Source organism: Homo sapiens, chromosome 15, assembly GCF_000001405.40.
Source record: "Homo sapiens chromosome 15, GRCh38.p14 Primary Assembly".
NCBI lineage: Eukaryota > Metazoa > Chordata > Mammalia > Primates > Hominidae > Homo > Homo sapiens.
This window is the reverse complement of record NC_000015.10, coordinates 32,409,927-32,428,798: the sequence shown is the minus strand read 5'-3', so window position 1 is coordinate 32,428,798 and position 18,872 is coordinate 32,409,927. Positions and strand designations below refer to the sequence as shown.

Sequence of the window (18,872 nt, the reverse complement as noted above, 5' to 3'; positions counted from 1 at the left end):
CACTACTTGGGAGGCTGAGGCAGGAGAATCACTTGAACCCAGGAGGCAGAGGTTGCAGTGAGCCAGGGTTGCACCACTGCCCTCCAGCCTATGTGACAGACTGAGACTCCATCCCTAAAAAAAAAAAAAAAAACCAAAAAAAACCATGCTGGTAATCGAAAAAGCAGTTTGCCTCATCAGAGTTTAGAACGTTGAATTGTAAAGATCTTTTTTGTAGTCCTAGCCAGTTTTAATGGTAACATGAGCAATTCAGTTACTTTCTCAGAGTTTTATATTTTTATCTGTAAAATGGAAATTATGGTACCTACAGTTTAGGATTTTTGTGAAAATCAAGTGAGACTGCAAGTGTCTTGAATAGCAGTGGAAGTACATTGATATAGGTGATATTTTACAGTGGTGTCTTCCTCAGCATCATATTAGTTCAGTGTTTTAAAGCTCTATATTAGTCACAGAAACAAAGTCAAATTTTTGTTCTCATTTCAGATTACAAGTGGACACCTGAGTCAGCAGGACCTGGAATCCCAGATGAGAGAGCTTATCTACACGACTCAGATCTTGTTGTCACCCCCATTATTGACAATCCAAAGGTGCAGAAAGCACTCTGACAAGTGAGTTGTAGACTTTACTGAGATCTGAAATCTGCATAAGATTTTCATTCAGAATATTATTTACTGTCTAATCTTTCCTGTTTCTCTTGTCCGCTTCTCTTTCATTTGTGCTGCATGTCTGCATTTCCAGCTCCCGCTCTGTCTGCAACCCTTTCCTCTGCCTTCACTTCCGCTTCACTGGAGTTCTAAGTTTTCCCCCCTCTGTTTTGAATGAGTCAGCTCTGCTTCTCACTACTGCTTTCTTCCACATGCCACGGAGGGGTTGCCAGCCTCTTGACCTCAGACCTTAGCTCTCAGTCCCATCGTTTCTCCATCTGCACTAATGTGAATCACTCTAAGTATTCTAGTCTCTGATGTGTTTTGAAGGCAGAAGCAGTCAGAGGGCACTGCTCACCAGGCTGGGCTGGGCAGGCAGATCACACGGAAGCCCTGCCCTGTCACAGGTTGTTAATACTGCAGGGGAGATGGTGGGGAGACACTATGGGAACTTGAGGAGTCATGGTTCACAATGTACTTCTAAACCACTGTGAGTTTTTTTGCTTCTTGTCTTTTGGAATATAATACTTTATTGCTGGGGGATAATGAGTATTTACTTTAAAAAACAGATGCATTTCTAAGTCCCTCTGTTTTGTCTTGACTTCCAGCTCCCCAACATACTCACATTCCACTACTTATTCTCTATTTTAACTTTACTGCTTCTTTTACTTTTTTTTAGTTTTACTTTTATTTTTTATTTTTTTGAGACAGAGTCTTGCTCTGTCACACAGGCTGGAGTGCAATGACGCGATTTTGGCTCACTGCAAGCTCCGCCTCCCAGGTTCATGTCATTCTCCTGCCTCAGCCTCCCAAGTAGCTGGGACTACAGGTGCCCGCCACCACGCCCTGCTAATTTTTTGTATTTTTAGTAGAGACAGGGTTTCACCATGTAAGCCAGGATGGTCTCGATCTCCTGACCTTGTGATCCACCCACCTCGGCCTCTCAAAGTGCTGGGATTACAGGCATGAGCCACCACACCTGGCCTTCTTTTTCTTTTTTAAATATCTTTTTCTGTATTAATTCATGACTGTTTTTTTCTTGTCTCATTGGGAACATTAGTGTGGTTTAGAACAATGTAAGGGTTTTTGGATTCATGTTTATTTTCTAGATAGACAGCATTTTATATAGATGATTTAGCTGTTTTTCATAATGGAGCTAATTCTTTTTGTGAGTTCATATGTCTGGCAGTGTAACTTTATTATGCTAAGTTTGATGTGCATTGGCGCATTTTCAAAATGGGCTTTCTAGAACAATTTGTGATATCTTTCCCAGGGGTGTCCAGTCTTTTGGCTTCCCTGGGCCACACTGGAAGAAGAATTGTCTTGGGCAACACATAAAATACACTAACAATAGCTGATGAACTAAAAAACCAATAAAAAAAATTGCAAAAAAATTCTTACAATGTTTTAAGAGAGTTTATGAATTTGTGTTGGGCCATATTCAAAGCTGTCTTGGGCCGCATCCAGCCCACGGGCTGCGGGTTGGACAAGCTTGCTTTACACAATATTCTGTGTTTCGTTTTTTCCTCTTATAACCATATTTGATAGTTTATGGGAAGCCTTCATCAGTGGAAATTTTTGTGTTTAACTTTTAATTCTAAACTACTTTTAGAGAAAAGATTAAAAAATAGTTGAGAACTCCTGTATAGCTTTTGCCCAGCTGCTCTTAATGTTCACATCTTATAGGTCTATAGTATAGTTAGCAAAACCTGGGAATTAACATTGGTATAGTGTTAGTCAGGCGGGATAATCCTTACCTGTTCCTCCTTTTGGAGGGCAGTAGAATGTGGTAGTTGGAGTTGCATGATACTTGATTGATATCTCTGTGTAATGATGGCATGCAATACCCTGACTGCTCCTTTCGAATTCTTCCTGAAAAGGGAAAAATAAAACATGAGAATAGTGCTGTTAACTACCAAATGCATTTGAATTTTACCGGTTGCCTCTAATGTCCTCTTTTTTTTTGTTCCAGGATCCCACATTACAGTTAGTTGTTATGCCTCCTTAGTCTCATATAGTCTGTCCTAGTTTTTCACGGTTTTGTCAGAATTTCTCAGACTTTGCTTGTCTTTCATGATCTTGACAGTTTGTCTTTTATTTTGTTTTGTTTTGTTTTTTGTCACCCAGGCTGGAGTGTAGTGGCACGATCTCAGCTCACTGCAACCTCTGCCGACCGGGTTCAAGCTATTCTCCTGCCTCAGCCTCATGAGTAGCTAGGATTACAGGCACCTGCCACTGCACCTGGCTAAGTTTTGTAGTTTTAGTAGAGATGGGGTTTTACCATGTTGGCCAGGCTGGTCTTGAACTCCTGACCTCATGATCCACCTGCCTAGGCCTCCCAAAGTGCTGGGATTACAGGCGTGAGCCACGGCACCTGGCCTTTGTATGTTTTTGTAATACATGTTATAAAACGTATGACTCAAGTCCTTGACACTTTGAAGAGTAACTGGTTGGGTGTTTTGAAGAATGTCCCTTAATTTAGGTTTGTCTAAGGGTTTCTCATGACTCGAATGAGATTATGAATTTGGATTATGAGATTAGAATGAGAATATGCATTTTAGTAAGAATACTACAGTAAATACAGTAATGCTGGTTACTTAATTAGTAAAGGTTTTAAAAATATTACATATAGAAGTTTTGCAGAAGTTAGGTATAGAAATGATGGTTGAATTTTTAATTAAAAGTCTCAAGATGCAGTATCTGGCTGTCCTAAGCTCATGGATCCAACTACATGGTTTCTTCACATTTCTGAAATAAATTATGCACTTTCCAATTCATGCTATTATGGCTTCCTTGAATGGTGTCTTCTCTGATATAATCATAAAGTTCTAGCCATCCTTCAAGACCTCAACCCACCTTCTACCTCTTCCGTAAACCCGGTGTCAACTATATCAAGTAAAGTGCTTGCTGTATTCTCTAAACTACTATTTACAAAAAAAATTCTTTCTGTCCAGGGTTTTGTCTGTAGTTATGTCCTGCCTCTTTTGAATTGTGAAATATTTTCTTGTTTATCAAATGTTTGTCTCATCTTCCCAACCAGAAAGTCAGCTCGCTGAAAATAGGATTGTGTCTTTTATATCTTTGTATCCCCCTTAGCACTTGACATAGAGCCTTACCTTGGCAGGTAAGCAATAGATATTTGTTGAAAGACTGAATTTCTAATTAGAGGTAAATTACCTAAAAAGTAAGCCAGGATGGGGTGAATTTTTTCTTTGAAGCTTTATTTTATTACAGATATCAATTGAAATGATTTTAAAAAATAAATTATTATCTATATATGTATGTTTTAATCTGAAAAGGCATCGTTCTTTTTGTTTTTGGTAACAAATTTTACACATTCTTTTTCTGTCCTCATTGATTTATTATCTGATATAAGGGACATATAAGGAGACAGATATCCATCTTTAAAATTGCCTCAAAAGTTTTTTTTTTTTTTTTAACCACAGATAATGAAACAACCACCATCGGTTAAATTTGATGCAAAAATATTGCATCTACCAGCATTTTCAGGTAGGATCATAAAGGAGTTATCGAACATGTAGACTGTCTGTATACAGATACGAATATGAAATTTATTCACAAATGGAATATTTGTATGTGAACAACTAAATTTATTTTGTCTTGACAATTGGTTATATTCTTGGGTCAGTGTTATGTGAATTGTAAATAATCTGTAATTCATTTGTGCCAGCTGTTGACATTTCTCAGCTGAGTCTGGGCTGCCCTGTCCTCTTGTGAGTGGGGAGGTTCCTGTAGATCTGGGCAAGTTTTCCTGTAGAGTGCGTGGGGGGCCTCCTCCCTTCCGTTCATAGAGCTGGTTGAATTTCCACCATTTATGGCAGGTGTAGGTGCACAGGGTTGGGGACAACAAGGAAGGATTGGGATTCTATTGGCGGGACCAGGACATTTGAGAACGGGACTAGGTGGTTCATGACTGTGGAGATGGTGTGGGAGTGGAGATACTTAAGGGATAATTATTACATTTCTGTTGAGCTAATGAAAATCTTATTTACGGTGAAAGTCAGAAATTTTTACATACCTTAAACTTTTTTTTTTTAACAAATTATATTTTAAGCTGTTAAACTCAATTTGGGGAAAATTATTCATTGTGGCTAGAGTAGAATCTATGATTTGAAGTAAATTTAAAATATATTTAGGTTTAAATAAACCAGCTAAGGGTTTATATCAGTCAACTTAATTAGTGATAAAAACAACCAAAAAAACCTGTGTAGAAGGACGTTTTTGAAAGACCAAAGTGAAGCAAAATATTAATAGTGCTTTCAGTGCCAAGTAGGTCTATTTATGCAAACCTAGAGAATTATTATTGGGAAATACTATTTCCTTTTTCTTCTTTGAGTTACTTAGGAAATTATATTTACAATTTCTTTGTCTAAAGATTGAGATCAGCAAAAACATGTTAGCAAAAAATTTTAGGGAGTATCACATTTCCTAGATTTTGCCCTTTTTTTATAGGGATTTGGAGGTAGGAATTTCAGGTGATTTTAGCTATCATGTTATCCTCGTTATTTTTTTACAGTAATTTCATTGGAACTTTTTAATAACTGTGTGGTTTGTGCTTTTCTCAATATCTGAGAGTTGATTTATTTATACAAAGGCTTTTTTGTCTTTTACTCCAGTTGTATTGAACTTTGCATTTTGTTATAATCTAGGTTGTGAGACAATTCTGCTTTAGACATCTGCTTGGTTTGAAAGCATAGTTTTCCATTGAAGTGTTTAAAAAGTTTCCATGGATAGATAAAGAGATGAGGAATATAAAAGGACAAATAGAAGTAGTGTCATCTTTGGAGTATTTTTGGTGTTGACAGAGTAATGTTTTCTTTGTCCTCATCTTAGCTGTCGTAACTCTGTGTTTATTTCTCATGTAATGTTTCCAGCAGTTGTTTTTCTCATCATCATACTTTTGTTATTTTCTTTCCTTGGCAATGGATAAGTTATAATTTCTGAAAGACCAAGATTGGAATGACTTTTTGTAACAAGTGTGCTCGCAGATCGACTCCAGTGAGAAGAGCTCGGGGACCTCCTGAGCCAAGCTTAATCTCCTTTGCTGTTTGTGAGTGGTGGCTGGTCACCAGGAGGTGGCCACCAGGCTCCTCCTTTCCCCGCTGGTAGGCCTCTGTGACATGACTTATGCATTTAAATTTATGTTTTTTATAGAGGCTCAAACAAGTGCTAAAATAGCAATTTGATTTAACTACCATGAAAAAACTGATTTATCACGATTTTAGGTTTATGCAAATTATCCTCTGCTTAATCCTTACGTCTTAAAGTAGATAAGAGTAGACGGTGATTTTGAACTTTTTGTTGTTGTTGTTGTTTGTAATACTCAGGTTTCCATTTTATGTTAACTTGTAAGATTTTTAAAAAATATGTGAAATCAGGCCGGGCGTGATATCATAAGACAGACCTTTTACCTTCTCATCAGTGACTGGAATGAACGCCTGTAATCTCAGTACTTTGGGAGGCCGAGGCAGGTGGATCACCTGAGGTCAGCAGTTTGAAACCAGCCTGGCCAACATGGCGAAACCCCATCTCTACTAAAAATACAAAATTAGCAGGGCGTGGTGGTGCACTCCTGTAATCCTAGCTACTTGGGAGGCTGAGACAGGAGAATCACTTGAACCCAGGAGCCAGAAGTCGCAGTGAGCCGTGATCATGCCATTGCACCCCAGCCTGGGCAAAAAGAGCGAAACTCCATCTCAAAAAATAAAAACAAAAAACAAAAAAAAAATGTGATATCATAAGACAGACCTTTTCCCTTCTCATCAGTGACTGGAATTAACTGCCCATGTGGAATGGGTTGTGGGTGTTGGTTCCTTTACTGGGTCATCTGGTAAACTGCAAGGTTTCTGCTGTGACATTGAAGGCAGACATCAACCCTCTAAGACATTTTTTTCCTATCCTCTGGGAATATTACTTTTTGGACAATCTTGGTCCATTGGTAAGCTCATGGGAATTTGTCAGAGTTTTTTTGTTTCTTTTGGCTCATGTTTAGCATCGATTGGCAGAGTGTTTGGAGTCATCCTCAGAAAGGAATTACAGTGGTTCGGAGGTGTTTTCTGTAGTGGGCCCTCATTTGGGAATTGGCTTGAAAAAAATGTAAGTTCACTTGCTTCCAGGATGGTATTAAGATTGCTTTTTTTGATAGTTGGCGTGTGTCTATCAGGTAAGGGCTGTCATTTAGAGAATATAAAGTGGTAGGAGAAACTAAAAGTACTGTTCTTAGTTTTTATTTTAATCTTATTCATATACAAGTGCCTTTGTAATTTAGCAAATATCATTTTTGGTGTACAGTATAAATTTCCTTTTTATAAAGATCTGAGTTTTTAACTTTGCTGTCACTTTCTGTGTTTCATGACTTAAATATTTTAATTTTTTCTTTTTTTACATTTACATTTTTTATTCTAGTTCCAATTGCTAATCCAGCATTTGTGGATAGCTGCAAACTGCGATATGTAAGTAACATTTACATTTTAAAAATTATTTCTCATGGTTTTATTAAGTAGTTACAGCATACATATTTATCAAAAGCAGAGTCCTAAGTAATTATCATAAATTTTTCTGATGTAATGATGAATCTACTCATAGGCAATTTTTATGGGCATTCCAATTATAAACTTTAGAATATTTAAAAATAGCCCTTCTCCTAATATAGATACGATTCTGGGATTATCTAAGCTACTCCTGGAAACTTTATTAACTGTTGTTGTTTTTTTATTTTCGTAGAGACAAGGTCTCTCACTATGTTGCCCAGGCTGGTTTCCAACTCCTGGGCTCAAGTGATTCTCCCATCTCTGACTCCCAAAGTGTTAGGACTACAGACGTGAGCCACTGCGCCAGGCTAACTGTTACTGTTTTGAGTATTGGTTATAAAATACTTCAACCCTGATCCCTGTGTATTAATTTAGTTATACTTCCTCAAAGTTTCCCTTGGGCACCCTTATCTGTCCCTATGTAGCACATAGCTTCCCTATGATGTTATTTATAATCTGAGATTAATTATGATTTATAAACTCCCGATGGAAGGAAGTGTCCTTACTTTTTATAGAAGCAACATACCAGGTGGAAAGCACCGTAGATCAAGTGTTAGAAGGCTCTGGGTTCCTGTTGCCTATAAGACTTGGCCAAATGATTATCTTTTTCTCAATCTCTGTTTCCTGGGGAGTGTGGGTGGGACAAGGAAATGGCATAGGTTTAGGATTCAGACAGACCTGGGTGTGGATCAAAGATCTGCTTTCTGGGCCAATTACTTTAATTGCTGAGCCGCAGTTTCCTCATCTGTAAAATTGGGATGGGATAACTACTTCATAGATTTTTGGTAATTATTCAACTTTGAATGTGGTAAATATGTGAGATACCTGGTATAGTGCCTGTTTCTTTCTTTCTTTTTTTTTTTTTCTGAGTCGGCATCTCCCTCTGTCACCCAGGCTGGAGTGCAGTGGTGCGATCTCAGCTCACTGCAAGCTCCGCCTCCCGGGTTCACGCCGTTCTCCTGCCTCAGCCTCCTTAGTAGCTGGGACTACAGGCGCCCGCCACCGCGCCCGCCCGGCTAATTTTTTTCACCGTGGTCTCGATCTCCTGACCTCGTGATCTGCCCACCTCAGCCTCCCAAAGTGCTGGGATTACAGGCATGAGCCACCGTGCCTGGCCGTATAGTGCCTGATTCTTAGTGGGTATTTCATTGACAGTGGGGTTGGGGTTGTAGAAGTTGTAGTTATTATCACGAAGCTTGCTTATCTCATGATTGTTAGGACAGGCACATGAAAAAACGGAGGTGAAAGGATTTTGTGAATTGTGGCAGTGGTATAATAATTATTCTTCTATGCTGGTGAAATATGGGTGAAACAATAGGAGTTTAGAAAATGTTTAATAATAAGGGTAATTCTTATTATACGTCTTCTAATGTTACTCTCGCAAAGTAAAATCTGGTAATAGAAAGTAGGATTTTTAGGTAATGGTTGAGCATTTAATACTTTGAGAAGGCTTATGGTATGCTCATTAAAAATGAATCAATGAAATATGTATTTAAACACTTTTATTTAAAACGTGTTATATACCTGAATGGGGTGCTCCCTGCTGACATTTTCAGACAGACATTCCAAATCATTTCCGAGAACAGTCATCCCTCTGTATCAGCCAGGAGAATGGTTCTAGTATCCCCTTGGATACTAAAATTAACACATACTGTTTTTTCCCCCACTGTTAAAAATTGAGGTTTGATTGTAAAACAGTTTTAATTTGAATAAAATGATACTGAGGTAGACAAGTTCTCTGGTAGGAATCTTCTTTTATTCTCTTTCTCCATCCAAAGCCACTTCCAGCGAGGTTTTCTCTGACCTCAGGTTATATTACCTTGATAGCATATGATAAAGGGTCCTTAACTTAGTCTGGGAGATAATTATTATTGAAGTAGATACTTAGTTTTGTTTTGCTTATAAAAAATTAGAATCACATGATATAGTTTTTTATGTTTGTTTTCCCCCATAACATATATATTATGTATTTTAAATGTTATCAACATTTTAAAATAAAATACATAATACTTAAGGTAAACGTTTTATATGTTGTGAATATCTGATCATTTTGTTTACTATTTTTGGATAGTATTATAATGTTGTAAACAACATTTTGATGAACATTTTTGAGATTAAATCTTCGTGCCCGCTTTTTCTTTTTCCCTTTAGGAAAGATTCATAGAACTAGAACAAATGGGTAGAAGGCAGTAAATATCTTTGTGACTTCTGAAAAATTGCTGAAATACTCTTAAAAAAACATTGTATCAATAGATAATCCCAGTCAATGTGTTTAAAATGTCTTTTGTTAGAACTTCCAACGTTGAGTATTTATCAAATTGTATATCCTTTTATCCTTGCCAATCAACTTTATGAGGTATAATTCATATATAGTAATAGTGTAATACTGTAACTTTAAAATGTGTTACTTGTAAATTACACATAATTTAAAATGTTCCATTTTAGCTATTTTTATGTGTACAGTGACATTTAGTTCATTCCCATTGTTGTGTAACCATCACCACTATTCATTTCCAGAACTTTTTCGTCATCTTGAACAGAAGCTCTTTACCCGTTAAACATAACTTCCCCTTTCCTTTCCCTTCCCCAGTCCTGGTAACCTATACTCTACTTATTCTATCTTGGTAAATTTTCTTATGGTGAGTACCTCATATTGCTACTGAAACATCGAGGGGTTTGGTCTAGGTCCTGTTGCTCACAGCGCAGAAAGCCAATCACGGAGACGATGAGTGTTGCTAGGGAAGAAGGCTTCAATTGGGTGCTGCAGCTAAGGAGATGGGAGATCAATCTCAAATTTGTCTCCTCGACTGACTAAAACCACGGGTTTATTTAGCAGGGAAGAAATGTAACCACGTATGGGAAAACAGGAGTTAGGGAAGGGTGAGGGAGAGGAGTTGGTCGACAGGAAGCAGGTAGTTGGTTAGGCAATTGTGATGGGTGAGGTGGTCTGGTGTCTTATGGTCCAGATGTGGTGATCTGGTAAGTTTCAGTTCCTTGATAACTATCTGGGAGGCCTGATGGTTGGTTTCCCAAGAAAGGAACTCAGATAAGACAAATGTAACTTTCTCAAGTTTTAAGACTGGGAGGGTCAATTTCTATCTTTATTTTAAAAGACTGTAAACATCAGTTCTATAGGACAATTGGGCTGGTTTCATTTGCAAGGTTTATCCATGTTGTAACTAACATGTGTCAGCATTTCATTCCTTTTTAAGGCTGAATAATATCCCTTTGTATGTAATATACCACAGTTTATCTTTTCATTTGTTGTTGGGCACTGGCTTGTTTATATCTTTTGGCTATTGTGAACAATGCTGCTATGAACATTAGTGTTTTCACACCTGATGGGTGTGAAGTTAGTATCTCATGGGTTTGATTTGTATTTTGTGACTAGTGATGTTGAACATCTTTTTTTGTGATTGTTGGCTATTTGTATATCTTCCTTGGAGAAAGGTCTAGTCAAGTCATTTGCCAATTTTTTTTTTTTTTTTTGAGATTGAGTCTCGCTCTGTCACCCACGCTGGAGTGCAGTGGCGTGATCTCGGCTCACTGCAACCTCTGCCTCCCAGGTTCAAGCGATCATTCCATCTCAGCCTCCCAAGTAGCTGGGATTACAGGCACCTGCCATCATGCCCAGCAATTTTTGTATTTTTGTAGAGACGAGGTTTCACCGTGTTGGCCAGATGGTCTTGAACTCCTGACCTCAGGTGATCCACCCGCTTTGGCCCCCCAAAGTGCTGGGATTATAGGTGTGAGCCACCGCACCCAGCTGGTAGATTTTTTGTTTTGTTTTGTTTTCAAGAAGGCCTCTCAGTGGCTTACCTCTGTGCCATGCTTTGGAGTTTGAGCTGTCTTCTCTTTACTAACTGTAGCTCTGTAGGACTTGGGAGTCAACCTTACCTTCTTTTTTCCTCCCTATTTTGTAGGTCTTGTTTGAGTTAGCTTTTCTTTTTATTCCAGGCCTGTAAATTTTACTAGATTGTCTCTAGGAATTTCATTTTACTAATTTGCTTCAGCCTGCCTGCCTGCCATCTCTTTTTACTAATTTGCTTCTGCCTGCCTGCCTGCTTCCTTCCTTCCTTCTTTCCTTCCTTCCTTCCTTAATTCCTTCCTTCCTTCCTTCTTCCCTTCCTCTCTCTCTCCCTCCCTCCCGTCCCTTCCTTCCCCCCTCCCGTCCCTTCCTTCCCTTCTTTTCTTTCCATTTATTTTGAGATAGAGTCTTGCTCTGTTGCCCAGGCTGGAGTGCAGTGGCGCAATCTTGGCTCACTGCAACCTCCGCCTCCCGGGTTCAAGCAGTTCTCCTGCCTTAGCCTCATAAGTAGCTGGGATTACAGGTGTACGCCACCATGCCCAGCTTATTTTTGTATTTTTAGTTTAGAGATGGGTTTTCACCATGTTAGCCAGGCTGGTCTCGAACTCCTGACCTCATGTGATCCTCCCGCCTTGGCTTCCCAAAGTGCTGGGATTACAGGTGTGAGCCACAATGCCCAGCCTCCTCACCCCTCCTTTAGCTATTATATTACTTCCTAGATTTCTTCCTCTCTATTTCACCCTTTTTCTGTTCCTGAAACCCCTACAGGATGGGTGTGGGAGTTTGTGTCTCTTGACTCTTCTTTCAAATTTTCTTTTGCTTTCTCACTTGCTCTTGTTTATTGAGATATAATTCACATACCATAAAATTCACCATTTTAATGTGTACAGTTCAGTAGGTGTCAGTATATTGAAAACTGTTCAACCATCGCCACTATCTAATTTCAGAACAGTTTTCTCACCCAGTGAAACCCAGTACCCATTCTTCTCCAACCCCTGGCAACAACTAATCTACTTCTTGTCAGCTGATTTGCTATTCTTGATATTTCATATAAATGGAATCATACAGTGTGTGGCCTTTTGTGTCTAGCTTCTGTCATTTAGCATAATGTTTTCAAGGTTCCTCCGTATGGTGGAATGTGTGAGTACTTCATTCTTTTTCTAGCTGAATAATCTTTGTATGGCTATTCCACATTTTGCTTATGTGGTCTTGATGGACATTTGGGGTTGTTTCCACATTTGGCTATTATGAATAATGGTGCTCTGAACATTTGTCCACAGGGTTTTGTGTGAACATATACGTTTTTATTTCTCCTACAGTGGTGAGATTGCTGGATAAAATGGTAACTCTGTGTTGAACCTTTTGAAGAACTGCCAAAGTCTCTTTGTTAAACTTTTATTTTAGGTTCAGGGGTACACATGCAGGTTTGTTATATAGGTGAACTCATGTTATGGGGGTTTGTTGTATGAATTATTTGGTCACCCAGGCACTAAGCTTGGTAAGGACCAATTGTTATTTTTTCTGATCCTCTCCCTCCTCCCACCCTCCACCCTAAATAGGCCCCCGTGTCGATTGTTCCCTCTTTGTGTCCATGCAAACTTTCTTCTTTTATTGCTCTTCCTTGACTTTATCTTTGAGCTCTCAAACTTGATATTTATCCCCACTCATTTTATTATTTAGGATTTCCAGTTAATTTTTTAATTTCAACAATCATATTTGAAAGTTTTTGTTCATTTTCTTTTTCTCTGATTGGTCCTTTTTCCTAGCTGCCTATATTTGGTGTATAATATACTTTTGAATTTGAGGATAAATATTAGGATTATAAAAATCCTCGTCTTGGAGCAGAATTTAGAATTAAATATTGTTATTAATATTTAAGGCTAAACATTAGGATTATATAATATAAGCCTGGAACCTGGACTTTGAAAAAAAGGGAACAAAATTAGGATTATGAACATTGTATTCTTATCTCTTGAACTTGCAGGTCACTTCTTTTTCATCATGGTCCTGCTTTTTTTTTTTTTTTTTTTTTGAGACGGAGTCTCGCTCTGTCGCCCAGGCTGGAGTGCAGTGGCGGGATCTCGGCTCACTGCAAGCTCCGCCTCCCGGGTTCACGCCATTCTCCCGCCTCAGCCTCCCAAGTAGCTGGGACTACAGGCGCCCGCCACTACGCCCGGCTAATTTTTTGTATTTTTAGTAGAGACGGGGTTTCACCATTTTAGCCGGGATGGTCTCGATCTCCTGACCTCGTGATCCGCCCGCCTCGGCCTCCCAAAGTGCTGGGATTACAGGGTCCTGCTTTTTAATGCTGTTTATTTCTCAAATGCCTGGTGATCTCTGGTTCTTCATTTATATTATGAATAAATGATTAAATTGATTGGTATAGAAGTTGGCAATATGAGTTTCCTTTATTCTTGCCTAAGTCTCTTTCTCCAATAGCTTCTCCTTTAAAGAAAGGGCTGGTATGTGGGTAGGTGAGGCCTGTTGACTGGTTGACTTTAATTTGGGATTCCAGCTGGCTGAAGATCAGTAGGCAGGCTGGAGGCCTCTGCAATTGCCAGGGTGGGTTTTTCTTTGCAGTGGAACTGGCTTTCCTCATTTATTCCCTTCCCCGCTTCGGTATCTGGAGGACCACAGTTGCTGCTTCCCACATCCATCCATCCAGTGAGCAAGGTGGATTGCTCACTGTAGGAATGATTTTCCACATTTACCCAGGAGGCCAGGGCTGCAGGGTTTATTCTGTGTACCAGGGAAGGGAGACGGAAAAGAGACAGGACCTGATTGGCTCTGCTGTTCCTTGTACAAGGACACAATTTTTCCTTGTGCAGTTGTTTAATCTGATTATTGTCCTGTGGCTCATTCTTTCTTTTTGTCTTTGTTTATTCCAAGTCCCTGAGGCTTCCTTGGGAACGTCTGTCTACCTGTGGTTCTTAGACAGGGGATTCCTTTGTTGATTCTCTGTCAGTCTTAATTCTATTTGTGCATGTCATCTGAGATTTTCTCAAACTTTCTAGTCCACTTTTAGCCCTCCTTTTTGTTTCCAATTATCATTTAATAAGAAGAGCTTGTATTTTAGAGACTCTAGAGGGTTCAGAAAAGTGAGTGTCAAGTGTTCAGTGTGCAATCATTAAAGACAGAATATCTCATAAGTTTGCATCTGTGTTACTTACACGATTGTGATTTACGGATGCTTTATTTCTTTCCCTTTCCCTTTTATTTTTCCTTTTGTTTCTTTTATGTATTTTTTATTATTATTATTTTTAGAGACTCACTCTAAAAAAAATAGGGTCTCACTGTGTTCCCCAGACTGGAATGGGACTACAGGTACATGCCACCATGCCTGGCTAAATTAAATTTTTTTTTTTTTTTTTTTTTTTTAGAGACAGGGTCTCACTTTGTTGGCCAGGCTGGTCTTGAACTCCTGGCCTTAGTGATCCTTCCATCTTGTCCTCCTAAAGTGCTGGGGATTACAGGTGTGAACCACTGTACCCGGCCAAAGTTTTTATTTTTTAATATGATGTATAAGGTTTAGAAGTGCTTTATTTTATTTATTTATTTATTTTTGAGACGGAGTCTCGCTCTGTTGCCCAGGCTGGAGTGCAGTGGCACGATCTCGGCTCACTGAAACCTCCGCCTCCTGGGTTCAAGCGATTCTCCTGCCTCAGCCTCCCAAGTAGCTGGGATTACAGGCGCCCACCACCACGCCTGACTAATTTTTGTATTTTTTAGTAGAGATGGCATTTCACCATGTTGGCCAGGCTGGTTTTGAACTTCTGACCTCAAGTAATCAGCCTGCCCTGGCCTCCCAAAGTGCTGGGATTACAGGCGTGAGCCACCATGCCCAGGAGAAGTGCTTTTAACTCCACACGTGTTTAGGTTTTTTGGTTTGTATTTGTTATTTTTACTTTTTTCCTTTTGCTACATCAAAATGAGTCCTTTATAATTTCTGCCCTAGGGAATTCTAATAATTTATCTTTGTGGTCCAATATAAAATCATTTTTAATGTATGCCATGAATGTAGTCAACTATTGATAATAATGTAGTACTAGTAGTTTGCTCAGTCAGCACAAATTGTCAGGACACATTGGTAATTTCTGCATGTGGATTATCTCCTGATTCTTAGAACAACATGAAACCAGGCTCATGAAAGATGAGTAATTATCCCAGGGTACTGTCTCCCTCACCTCCAATGGTGGGCCAGAGCTAGGTCCAAGACTTTGAATTCTAGAGTGTTAGACACCATCCTATGCAGCCTCCCACTGAGTAAGGGTGGTCACTGTTTGTAGGGTGTAGAGTTTGATAGATACGTCTGTTACTTTGACTTCATTAGTTTTATTTAGGATGCTTGAATGTGTGAATGTATTGATTAATATATTCGTTATTGCCTTCTCTCTGTGCTTGGAAGAGAAGAAAATTGAAGTTTACCACTACCATGGGTTTACTTTGCGTGCTTTGTTATTTGGTGTATAAAGATTCACACCTTAGATCTTTTGTAGGTCATATGGTGTTTCGTTTAAAGGGAATCTTCTTCTGAAGAGTTTAGCCTTGAATTCTGCTGAGATTTACATTGGCAATCCTGTTTGCATTTTGTTTGCCTTGGACAGCCATACTTTTATGCACTCCTTTCCTACTAATGTGTTTATTTTGCTTTTGATGTTGATATATTTGTTCAACCAACATTTTTAGATGCCCGAGTGCGCTCCAAGCACTGTCTAGGTGTCACAGTGGCGATCGGGATACAGTCCTGCCTTCATGGATCTTCTGGGCTGGTCGAGGAGACAGACAATAAACCAGTCAATGAATGAATAAGTAACTGCAAAATTTTAGTTCTGCTCTAATGTGGTAGCCATTCACTTCATGGGGGTTATTTAAATTAGTTAAATTAATAGTAGCTTACTCATTCAGCATGTATTGTCGGACACAATGGTACTTTCTGCACATGGATTATCTCCTTTGATTCTTTTAACAACATGCGGTATGTATTGTTATCGGTCCTACTTACGAGGTAACCAGGACTAGGCACATGAAAGATGAGTAATTACCCCAGGGCACTGTCTCCCTCACCCTCAACTGTGGGGGTAATTTTTAAAATAAAAATTAAGGCCAAATACAGTGGCTCACGCCTATAATCCCAGCACTTTGGGAGGCTGAGGTGGGCAGATCAGTTGAGCTCAGGAGTTCAAGACCAGCCTGGACAACATGGTGAAACCCTGTTTTTACTAAAAATACAAAAATTAGCCAGGTGTGGTGACACACACCTACAGTCCCGGCTACTTGGGAGGCTGAATTGGGAGGATTACTTGAGCCCGGGAGGCATTGCAGTGAGCGGAGACTGCGCCACTGCTCTCTAGCTTGGATGACCCTGTCTCCCAAAAAAAAAAAAAAAAAATTAATTTGAATAAAATTTGTTGTTCCTCACTTGCATGTGTCATATATTATGTGCTTGATAGTCATGTGTCTAGTGGATACTGGATTGAACAGTGCAGATGTGGGACATTTGTCAGTGCACGAAGGTTTGGTAGACAGTGGTGCCTTAGATGCTGTCATGGAGATGGGTTGGTTCTGAGGTACAGTGTCAAGTCACTGGGGGCACCTGGAGTGGTGACCTGAGAAAACCTGAATTTTGAGAAGGAACCTGTACTGTGAGGGTGTTGTCTATGGGGCATGTGGTACTTGTATTTAGGATTTTGGTAAAAAGTGACTATTCATAAGCTATTTAAAGTTTCTATTTTAAAAGTATAGGGTTTTTAGGTAGTGTGTTTTCTTTTGTTCTAATAGGAATTGTTTTGGTCATATTAGGGAAAATAATTGGCTTGTTGATACATTTTTATTTCCATTGATTAAATCTGGTAGCCATTATTTACTTTTATAGATTGAAAAATGGTTCAGTGTTTCAAAAGTATTTTGAGCTTGTCTTTGAAAAGAGATAGACAGGCAGGTGCAGTGGCTCAGACCTGTAATCGCAGCAGTTTGGGAGGCTGAGATGGGAGGATTGTTTGTCAGGAGCTCAAGGCCAGCCTGGGCATCATAGCGAGACCCCATCTCTACAAAAAGTAAAAAAATTAGCTGAGCGTGGTGGTGCACGCCTGTAGTCCCAGCTACTTGGGGGGTTGTGGTGGGAGGATGGCTTTTCCAATTATCCTACAGATATTTTTCAAAATGATTACTTTTAAACTATAATCTTTTTATTCAGAGGTAGGATGCTAGTTCTACAATTGCCTAGGTCTTCTTTAATTTGTATATGTTAAGAAATTTTAATGGGCAATTTAATAAGTGTTGAAATTTCTAAGAATTATTTCTGTATGTTAGAGTTGTGATAACGCAGACATTTTCCCTGAAGTACTTCTCTGAGTCTGATTTGTTTTCCTCCATGGGTGCCACATAGGTTTATTTTAAGAAGGTAAAAAATAAAAGCTGACTAAGGTACATATTGATTATTCCAGACAACATGCAGACATCACTCAATGAGTGCAGTTCTCATCAACTCACCATTTGTTTCAATTAGAAAAAATTCTCATCAAAACTAATTTTTCTGCATGAAATACCTTTTCAAATCACACTGAATGTGATTTATTAATTGTGATTTATCAAATTCAGTTTTCTGCTGGATACTAAAGGCACACCTCATTAAGACTAGTGATTATGGAAATAGTACAATATTTTAGAAACTTTTGATTGTAAAAATTTCTTTTAAAATGAATACATACAGATATGTTATTGTTCAGATATTTAGCACTTACGTAGAAACTCACTGATCTACTAACAAGTAGAAAAGAGACCTTTAGCCAAATGCCTCTGTACTCAGCAATAAAATGATTAATTACGTGTTGCTCTTTTCTCTGGTTAAGGCTTTTAACAAATTTTGTTTTTCCTTTTACTATTACACCATAACTTGTTTAAATTTTGTTGCTGTTGCAGAATTACAGCAGACATTACAGTTCATGTCTCCCTGTGTATACGAGGGAGAGTTTCTCTGGGCTGTGTACATGGGGGAGTGTGGGCCTGACCTGTCACATTCAATTTTTATTTCACAGTCTTATATCTAATGCTCATCATTGCATAATGTAACTAGCTGGGGTTAGTTTCCTCAGTCCCTGACTCTTCTCTTCAGAGCCTGTTTTCTCTCCGTTTACAGATGGGCCAAGGTTGCTCGGGTGATTGGTTTACTGGCTTCGCACAAAACTGATCTCCAGGAAAATACACCTGTTGTTGAGGTAATGTCTTTTATGACTGAAATGTGATGAATGACAAGAAATACTGTTGTTGATTCTGTAATTTAGAACATGCGGCTTTCCTTGACCTTCACTTGACTTTTCTTTGTGGGATTGTGGAAATTGTTCAAAAACTTATCACCTCAACAGACCTTTAGGCTTAAACATAGCAGCTCATTTACAATGTAGTCCATCATTAAAATGGCACAGCAGAGTTAACAAGGCTCGTGAACCCTACTCATCATTATTTCATTTGTTTTTGAATAAGACTTGTTCATTTCCCGTTTTCTTGTAGTCTGTCCAACATTTTGTTACAGCTAATGTATTTCCTAATTAAATCATAGCTTATAATTCAAAATTCAAATTCTTCTGGCTTTTAGTGTTTTCGTATGAAAGATTACTTTCTACCTATTCTGTTAATGTATATTACACTTTATTGGTAATAGAGTGTTATACCTTGAACTGGGAGAGGCTCAAGAGTCAGTGTAGGTGAAAAGAACCAAGGCTTTTTAGGGGAAATAGCAAGAGGTCCTGAAGGAGGTTAAAAAGGGTAAGGGAGAGAGGATTTTGTAGAGCTGAAGCTGGTTGTGTGGTATTTGGGGCTTTAAGAGGAATTGGAAAACTTTCTATGTCTGTGTTGTCCACTATAGTAGCCAAT

General features: G+C 38.8%; 1 non-coding gene and 1 pseudogene across 2 annotated transcripts in view, besides 1 other annotated feature; both read left to right on the top strand.

Annotated features, from left to right (window-relative positions):
- Positions 1-18,769: part of a non allelic homologous recombination region, noted in NCBI's record as "15q13.2-13.3 gamma inversion distal recombination region, recombines with the 15q13.2-13.3 gamma inversion proximal recombination region", that runs on past the window's edge. NCBI's record gives the evidence for it as "EXISTENCE:nucleotide sequencing assay evidence [ECO:0000219][PMID:25326701]".
- The window catches only part of ULK4P1 (ULK4 pseudogene 1), a 28,439-nt pseudogene that overhangs the window by 6,251 nt on the left and 3,316 nt on the right, over positions 1-18,872 (top strand). Inside the window, exons 3-4 of the transcript NR_026858.1 lie at positions 484-608; positions 18,139-18,217. The product of NR_026858.1 is annotated as a ULK4 pseudogene 1 (transcript). The remainder of the gene's footprint in view (positions 1-483; positions 609-18,138; positions 18,218-18,872) is intronic.
- LOC124900356 (U8 small nucleolar RNA) lies at positions 2,379-2,511 on the top strand. The gene has a single exon (XR_007064808.1). It is a non-coding gene; the product is annotated as a U8 small nucleolar RNA (small nucleolar RNA).